The sequence below is a fragment of the Homo sapiens genome, chromosome 18 (assembly GCF_000001405.40).
Source record: "Homo sapiens chromosome 18, GRCh38.p14 Primary Assembly".
NCBI classification, from domain to species: Eukaryota; Metazoa; Chordata; class Mammalia; order Primates; family Hominidae; genus Homo; species Homo sapiens.
Window position 1 is genome coordinate 76,251,015 of NC_000018.10, and position 9,105 is coordinate 76,260,119.

The 9,105-nt window shown below is 40.5% G+C and overlaps 2 long non-coding RNA genes across 6 annotated transcripts in view; one reads left to right on the top strand and one right to left on the bottom strand.

Annotated features, from left to right (window-relative positions):
• The window catches only part of LOC105372210 (uncharacterized), a 38,239-nt gene extending 33,993 nt beyond the window's left edge, over positions 1 to 4,246 (bottom strand). The window contains exon 1 of the long non-coding RNA XR_935654.3: positions 3,178 to 4,246. This is a non-coding gene — a long non-coding RNA (uncharacterized LOC105372210). The remainder of the gene's footprint in view (positions 1 to 3,177) is intronic.
• The window catches only part of LOC105372209 (uncharacterized), a 27,195-nt gene extending 18,090 nt beyond the window's left edge, over positions 1 to 9,105 (top strand). For 3 of the 5 annotated variants that reach the window (XR_002958200.2, XR_935651.3, XR_002958199.1), the window contains 5 exons: positions 104 to 337; positions 5,810 to 5,919; positions 6,445 to 6,549; positions 8,124 to 8,315; positions 8,803 to 9,105. This is a non-coding gene — a long non-coding RNA (uncharacterized LOC105372209). Of the gene's footprint in view, positions 1 to 103; positions 4,894 to 5,809; positions 5,920 to 6,444; positions 6,550 to 8,123; positions 8,316 to 8,802 lie in introns of those variants that run through there. The other 2 variants (XR_935653.3, XR_007066475.1) reach the window with 2 other exon arrangements.

The following is a 9,105-nucleotide window of genomic DNA, read 5'->3' on the forward strand; positions in this document are numbered from 1 at the left end:
GAAACGGGCAATCTCCAAAAATATGCACTTTTATTTATGCATTAATAGTCTAGACTGCGTTGCCTATAACAAACTCACTAATTACACTTTCATTCATTTACAGGTTATCAGTGGATGCCTCACCTTAGAAAAGTCCCGTAAAACTGAGGAAGATTGTGGGAGGTATCCTTGGGGGTCATCTAGACCAGCACTCCAGCCTGCCCCAAATCTACAGATCAAAAAAGCAAAGTCCAGAGAAGTAACGTCTCAAGGTCACATAAGTCAGTCCCTATCAACAACAGCACTAAAATCAAGGCTTCCTAAAACCAGTCGGATCATTGTTCCATTATAGCATATGGTAATTCTTGTTAGATGGAAAACAGAAATATTTAGAAAGTCCTAGGAGGGTCTTATTTCTTGAATGGAAAGTGAAGATTTGACATTCTTTAAGACTGCTGGTCAACTCCAGACAAGCTGTATTAAATAATGAAGTGGGAACAGAGACTGTGAAAAATCTAAGGGGAGGAAAAAAAAAGAATCTTTAAAAAAATGCTATATAGATTTCAAAGCACTTAGAATTACTATTTTCCTTCCATATCTTTGGCTCCTTCTTCTATTCTGGGTCCTAGTCAAATGTTAGTTTTACTGGAGTGTTCTATCGAGGCCAAATTAACACCCAAACTGGAATTAATACTCACCTTTGTTCGGCAAATTCAGACTCCCAGACGTCACAGAGGTGCTGAACACATTTTAACACTCAGGGACATTTACACCAGAGAAATGCATCAATTTACAAAAAAGTATGAGCCTCAAACGTGTACACCCAATCCATATTGGCGGCCAGAAAGCAGTTTCTCTCCACCCGCCTCCTCTTCCTCCACTCCCTCCATCCTGCTGGACCTCCCGTGCACTGGATTACCCGGCCCACTCTGGGACTGTTGCAGCACGAGCAACTTTGGTGCCATGCTCTTAATTCCTCAAACGCCGTTACCTCTCTTTATGCTTAGCCCCAAGGTGGGAAGAAGGAAATAAATCTTGTTCCTTGTGGGATGTCACATCCTCTGGCGTTCTGGGACCTTCCATGCCAGGCCTCCAAGCCCTGGTGCGCCAAGGCTCAACATGGCTGAATACAGGGTTCTAGTTCATCTTGGCAGAGACACGGACTTTCCACACACAAATTAACATTGTTTCATCTCATTTTGACACCATAATGTCTTTTCCATACACCTGCTCTGACATTTTCATGAAATCATTGCATCCCAATCAACTGAGTAGGGAATTAGCATTGTTACACCAAACATTCTGAAAAGTGTGGGTTATTTTTCATATCTAAATATCTCATCCCCATATGCTGCTTTGGAAAGATAAACTCAAGATCTAACATACTGCAAATTTAAAATTCTAAAATATGCATATTTGATTTTACAATCCCCTTATTGGCAACACGTGCCATGCAAAGCTGTATTCATGCTTGGGTAGATGGGTAACTTTTAAAGTAAATCAAATCTAGGATTTCATAGGAAATGAACCCCCTTTTAATGTTTCAGCATTTTAAAATTAAGAAATATTCCTGGATTGTCATTCCTGACATTACAAATAGTAATTATTCTTCTTGTGATTAATAGCAATGATAGTATTTCTGGTTTCTAAGATGTTTCTGCATACCTCCTAGATGGAGGTATAATAAACTCAATACAATTCGTTTATTATGGATTTCATTTCCATACAGAAAACTGAGGCTCACAGATGCTGCATGTGGTATGTAAGGCACCAGCTCTAATGGGGAAAGGAGGGAATAGAACTTCAATCTTTTGATTTCCAAACTACCATATCATAAAGCACATGAGACAATAACCCTCTCAGAAAGTGACTTTGCATACTACTATTCCTAATTGTTGCTTAAATGAATCTTAAATACTTTTTTTTAACTTTTTATCAGTGTCATTTTGTGATCCAAGAAATAGCTAACCAAAATCAGCTATGTGTGGGCTCTGGGCAGTTAACTGAATGCTTGGAAGGGCCCACGTTAAACAGATTTTTGTCAAATAATGTTGCCACCACATAAGGTGACATGAAAAAGGCTTTTATGTGAAGTCTCAAACTGTAGTGCCCCCTATGTGTGCTGTGTGGGAAATGCCTAGGATTTGCTGATAAACAGGAAAAGCAAACAGAAATTGTTCTCATCTGTGTAAAATGGCAAGAATACTTAGTTTGCCAGGGTAAAAACGTGCATTTAACAAATTTGAAACCAATGTTCCTCTATCTAAATGCCTAATTACTTACACGTTTTCCTCATTCCCCGCAAACGATCCTCACTCTACAAGAACTTAGCTAAATGTTGTTTTTTTCCTATTAACTCTCCCAAATGAAATGATAAATAACCTTTATGAATTCATTTTAACCAAACACACTAAAGTATTATAACACATGACAATTCATTTGATATCTGTGTTTATATTTCCACCTTCCCCACTCCCAAAATTTAGCCTATTAAATCCTTGAGGGCAGAGATAGTATGTTATAATTTTCAAACCTCCAGAAATTAGCACTTGTTAAATAAACAAATTTAACAAAACATCTTCCTCACCTCCAAATATCTCCCTCAATTTATACTAGGCATGTAGAAAAACTATTAAATCAATATATATTCAAATCAATTCAACAAATACTGATTTGCACATCTAGTTTAGAGATGCAGTGTGACCTCCATACTTTTTCTCATAATGCAATAGCTTTTCTGCATTTTACAAAATACTTTAAGATATTTACCTATTTTGAAAACAAGTTGATATGGATGCACCTGACACTTAGACATAAGACATTCTGCAAAGAATACCAGAGCGAGAGATGGATTCATTCTTCAAAGATCATTCCAACCTTAGTTTCTCCTCCAAGCTCAATTAGTGGAATTTTATGGAGCTTAAGGTGTTGGCACTCAGGAGAACAAGCATGGGGAATTTTGTTTCATTTTGCATATAACCCCATTCAGGCCTATTTGCTCTGCTGAGCAGTTAACTCCTCATGCCTCTGGTAATTCTAATGGATGTACACTTAATAGAATTAATATTTTTGTGACTGTAAATGGTTCCACCTTCTTAAAGTTTGCCATAAATAGCCAAGTACTGAAGAAAGGAACATGTTTTTCTTTAGGTGCTAGACTTTTTAAAAAATTGTGGATATTAAAAATAGAACACTCACCACTGAGTATCATCAATCATTCTCCCAATTCCAATGAGATTATTTCCAGATTCTGGTGTGGACAACAGGTTTGGGGCTGAAGGAAGCACATAACCTACATTTTCACACACACCTGGTGGGAAGATTGATCCTCAGCTGATCTATGCTTTTCCTAGTGACACCATGTGATGCATCATCAGTAACAGTCCCATTGCTGGCCAGGTCCACCCAAGGTCCTTAGGCTGTACAGATACCCACCACAATCTCATACATAAGGAGAGAAAATAGGATGTCCAAATGAGTCATGATGAGCCTACACTGAAAGCGTTTTGTGGCCCCAACCATCAGTTTCTCCAGAAATAAGTCTGCTACAAAGTGGAAGGTCCTGCTTGCTTCATTTCCCAACTCCCTCGTCATGTGCTCTGAGGGCTGTGAATGCTTTAACAACATCCCAGCCCCGAAATGCAGTGGAGCCAGTTTCCAAGGAAGAACAGCAGCAGTCGACCCCTAACAACAGGGCACAGGTAACGGATAAAAGCTCACCCCGATTTCCAAGTCGCCAAAAGAGTGATCACTGCTAGGCTTTTACCTCTGCTCAGGGTTCCATTTCCATGTGTTTAAGAGGTTATCGAGGTTTTTTTAATTCCAATGGGTTGGCAGGGGAAGTTGTCGGGCTTTTCAGTGACGAAAACTCCTCTGCATGTGTGCCCATAAAACATTAAATGAGAAATACAGTTGCTAGAATGCCCAAGTTAGAAACTGAGAGCTAAACATCACAATCCGGATGTTCCCCACGCATTGGGACGAAACCTCTTGGACAAGATGCTGCACTTAGGAGCCTCAGTTCTTCTCCTGCAGATACTCCACCTCAGCCACTTCCGACCCGCCCGACTATCAACATTACAGGGCTAGGTTCCGTTAGTCAATATTTAGTGAGAAAAACTCTAAAAAACGGCGATGAATTGGAGAAAATCTTCACAATCTATACCTCCAACAAAGGACTAATATCCAGAATCTACGAGGAACTCAAAGGAACGGTGAACAGTTTTAATCACCATTATTACGCCCGTACTTAGCCGGAAGTGTGTCTGTCCAATTCCCATCCGGCCGGACTTCAGACTGACTTCCTTTCAGGCGTTCTGGAGAGAATGCGCGTGCCCTTCTCTCCGGATTCTGTGTACCCGGAATCTCATTAGTCTACTGATTGGGAATCGCAAGCATCAGCCAGGCACAATGGCAGCTGAACACTGATTTGGTATCAACGTGTTTGTGCTGAATCCCTCATAAACTGGGAAGATGTTTCTTTCTTAGGATCCCTCGCAGACCACAGCTTCCTCACAGGTACCCGATGGAGAGACAAGAAGTGTACACAGCTGACATCCAGCCTTCTCTCTGGCTGATTCAGGCGCTGAAAGCCACGTGGTCATCACGGTCTTCTGAAGATTATTAATGAGAAAGCCACTTAGAACAAAGCCGTCCACAGTTATAGTTCTTTCATCTTGAAAACTAACAACACAAGGTCACTGCCCTGGAGGACTCCTTGAAAAACTGACACTTGTCCATTATGCAAATTCTTTGTTGATTGTTGTTGGGTCCAGAGTCTAGTTATGTAGGGAACTAGAGAGAAAAAGAGAGAGAGAGAGGAGAGAGAGGGAGATAGAAGAGAGAAGAGATTTGAAACCCATCTCACACCCTAAATGTGGGCAGGCTTGCAGACAGATATCTTGGAACTACGAGGTAAACATGGTCTAAATCCCCTGTTTTGGGAAGATAAGTGCTCAGAGTTCTGTAAGCTAAATGCACACTGCTGAAATGTGATTGAAAACTTTGTGATGTGAAGACTAAAAATCACAAGTAGGAGGCAGGCAGTGTTTAATCTTCTGCTGGATGACAATTCAAGATAGACTGATAGAGATACCTGCTGCCTGATAAACCAGTCAATACTGTAGATGGTAGATATTTGCAGTCAACAGGCCCTGGGAGCAGGGAGGGGGAGCTGGGGACCACAGCATTACTATACTGCAATTCTGCTCCCAGCTCCTTGCTAAGGAAGGCGAGACCTATAATTTGCTGCATTATGTTATCATACTATGGATCGAAAAGCATTCAAATCCTTCCAAGTAGACCATGTTAATCCTGTACATAGGCGTTCTTCGGCCACGTCATTGTCCATTGCAGACGGCACATGTTAATCTATCCTAAAAGTGAAAGTGAAGGGTGGTCTTTGAAAGAACTCTCTCTCATTCTAGAAAAGCCAGGTTTTCAGGCAGAAATTTTTCTGGTTTGTCTGTACTTTAAATTCTTAGCTTTTTTTTTTTTTTTTTTTTTTCAAATACACTGGCAGGAATATACACCAAACACTCACAAAAGAACCAGAGAAATCACTGGTTCTGGCCAAATGAGTAGAACACACACACACACACACACACACACACACACACACACATACACACATACACAGTGACTAAAGCGGGATAGTAATGTGTCTAGAGTAGTTTTCAGAGTATGTGTGTGTATGTGTGTGTGCGTGTGTGTACCTACATGTGCATATCCCTGGTAGTGCATTACTGCTGCACTTATTTGGAGGAAATTTGAGAAAATGTCTTTGAACATGGTTGTCTTACTGGATTTCATTTATTAAATAATTCACCAGGCTTTTCTTCTGGAAAAATGTCCAACTGTAGCAGACAGAAAGGAAGCCAAGAGAGGGTGTTTACAGCAAGGAGGGGCTATGAAATATCTTCACTCCAGGTTCTTTATGAGGTAAAACCGTGTCACACCACACCACTATCCCTGTTGCAAACTGTTCATCTAATTTCCCTCTTTTTTGGGATATTTTGTTTTCCCCTAAATGTCAGAGTTTGCTTGGGGAAAAAATATTTTTGGTTGTTTCTTTGGAAGCTTCTTGCAGTATGCCTCCACCTGCTGGAAGGAATCAGGCATGTTGTTAGGTGCAGCTGCAGCCCTGCACGTTCAGAGCTGCCTATTTCTGTGTAACTGAAGAAAACAGAAATTATAAATCTATAGAAGAGATGTTTACTTATAAATGTTTACTTATAAATATCACATGTAAATTAAATGCTATGCATCAACCTACCGCAAAGTTGTATAGTCAATGTATTTTTAATATAGTTTGAAATGAAAATAACTTCATTTTAAGGGAAACAGAATTTATGATGATGCAAGTAATCCAGGATGTCGATCAAAATATACCCATTTAAAGGTAAGGTGAAATGTAAATTGTGGTATTAAAGTTCCAAATGTTAACAAGTATTTTCATTTCCCCAGCTGCAGTGTATCATTTTTATCAGCAATTGGAAGCATGCTGCATGTTTGACTCTGTGGACTCCTGCTTTACACAACAGAACATTCCGATGGTGTGCATGTGCCATAGTACGTATAGAAATTCTAAGAATTCATATAATTTACCTGCTAAATCAGGGACTATTACAGTCTGCTGTGTAAATTCACATTTTGGCACTCTTTAAAAAGTGGATTATTATTGACCCAATAGACCATAACAGCTCCAAAGAAGCCGTTACTGTACATCGTGTAAAGCCTTCGTGGTGTGTGTTTTATTGAAGCTCTGTAGCTGTCGGGATCTGCTTGTCAATCTAGCTGCCATGCGCGTGCACCAAATGCATTGCTAAAGATGCCTTGTAAATTGAAGCTTTAGTCAAATTACCCTTGTTCTTGTCCAATAAGCCATGGTATAAAATTGGATATTTCCACTGCAGTTTCTTTCTCCACCTCCAGAATTCTATTTCCCTGTATTTATAGAGGTTGAAATTTTGAAATGTGGATAAGGGAGTGGTGATTTGATTTCAAGTTTCAAAAAAAAAAAAAAAAAAAAAGCAGGAAGAAAATTGAAGACAGTTTTTGCTTTGCATGAAAAAACATCTCAAAGAATGCATGAATTTACCAGCTTCCAGGAGGCTGACAACGGTCACAGTGAGATTTCTCTACTTTAGGCTTTTGGGAATCCAAATAAGATTTTTATTTAATTTTCTATGTGCTAATTTTGTGTTTTTCCACCTGTCTGTCCTCTTCTTTCATTTAACAAAAAAATGAACATTGGAACATTTGTCAGGAAAAAAAAAAAACTTTTTAGTTACTTGTACCTTCAGTAAAAATAAAATAATACTTTGAGGTCTCAAGCTGTAGGTGCAGCACTTTCAGTGTTTTCCTGGGCTGGTGAGAGGTTTTGGCAAAGCCGTCCTGACACCCACACAGCATACACAGCGTGTTTGTGATGATGATTAAGCCATTTGTTAGTCTCTTCCTGATATGGCTGAAGCCATGCAAATCAGCATGGATTCCCAATCCTCAGAGACAGGGTATGTTCTAGAAAGCAAGCTATGAACAAAAAGTTCAGGCTGGATTACCTGAAGGAGATCCAGGCTTAATGTCACTAGGTATATGTCCTTACTTTCTGGCCGAGAGCAAACATTTGGTAAGTTTCTGAGCTAGGAAGAAAATGCTTATGGAACCGTGGTTTTAAAAACATACAGTCAGCAGAACATATCCGCTTAGAGACCAATATTTCTTCAAGTTATAGAAGAAAAAAAATAGGAAGGGTAAGATTAAGTGCTGTACAACTTTGTTCTTTCCCGTAAGAAATAGTAAAAGCTCATATTTTTATACTATGTTATTTCAATCTATAATTGTTATAATTGATAGCTTAAAATCCTAAAGTTCAATGGTAATGTGACAAATGGGAGATAGAGCTAGAGCAAACTCAATGAGGTATTTTTTTAGTTCCATATCACGTCAGATAAATGGATAGAGAGTTAAGAACCGCAAATTTCTAAGAAATCACCAGCGTAATTATCTTAGGAAAATATAGTTTATTTTCATTTTGCAAATATCTGCTAACCACTGCATCACCCCTCCTGTGCTCAAGAGAAAGGAGCACAGTGTGTCCCCCTAACACTGTGGAGTAAAGCATGAGAAAATTCTTTACGCAGCCCTGCCGTAACAAATCTCAGCTGGTCCTCTGCTGTCCTCTGGGGAGAATGCATTTGAACTCATCTCAAAAAGCTGGTTTTCTACCCTGGAGGTCTCCGATGGCTACTGCGAGAAGAAAGCCATGTCCCGAAAGCAGTGATACAGATTGGCAGCCACTGCAGAGATGCAGAATGTCGAAGAGTGTGTGTGTTGTAAGAGATTCTTAACCCCTCCCTAGCACCCATAGGGGCAGTCCACAGCCTGCAGCTTGGGCGGGAGGGGGTTAATGCGGGGCAGCTGCCTGGCGGGGACCAGCTGAAATGGATCAGCTAGGAACCAGCCTCCCCTCTGCATTAACCCTCGAAGGGATGCAGAGGCCCAGGACAGAGGCCAGCCTGCTGTGCTGCACCTCGGCCTCATTTATTCATGGGAGACACACGCGCGTGTGTGCATACACACACACACACACAGAGAGAGAGAGAGTTCATTTTACCTCCTGACCCCTTCTGCCTCTTGTCCTGATTTGAATGAGAAGTTATATTTCTAAACACAGTGCTTTCTCACTGGGCTATTTTTGTAATATAGTATGCTGAGTTGCTGCCTTAAAATTATATATATATATATATATATGCACACACACATGCACACACACAACAGGCGTGCAGACCTTACAGGCTGATGATTCTGCCTCTTGCCAAGGGAATTCCTGGACAGACACTGCTCTGAAAGAAAAACCCTCTGGTTTTGGAAGTCTGGCTGGGCAAGGCAGGCGGAGGTCATGGAGGGGCCGGCGTGATGGAATCCTCGGTGCAGCTGACTGCGCAGCCCGACACTGGCGTGGACACTGGGACGCGTCATGCAACATCCAACCAGAGCACACTCACGAGGACAAACATGGGCCCACCTATTTACCATCAGAAAAACAAAATCATGCTCTTTCACTTTGAAAGAAGGGGGAAACTGGAAAGTTATTATTTGAAATAAAATGGAATTTTAGGATAA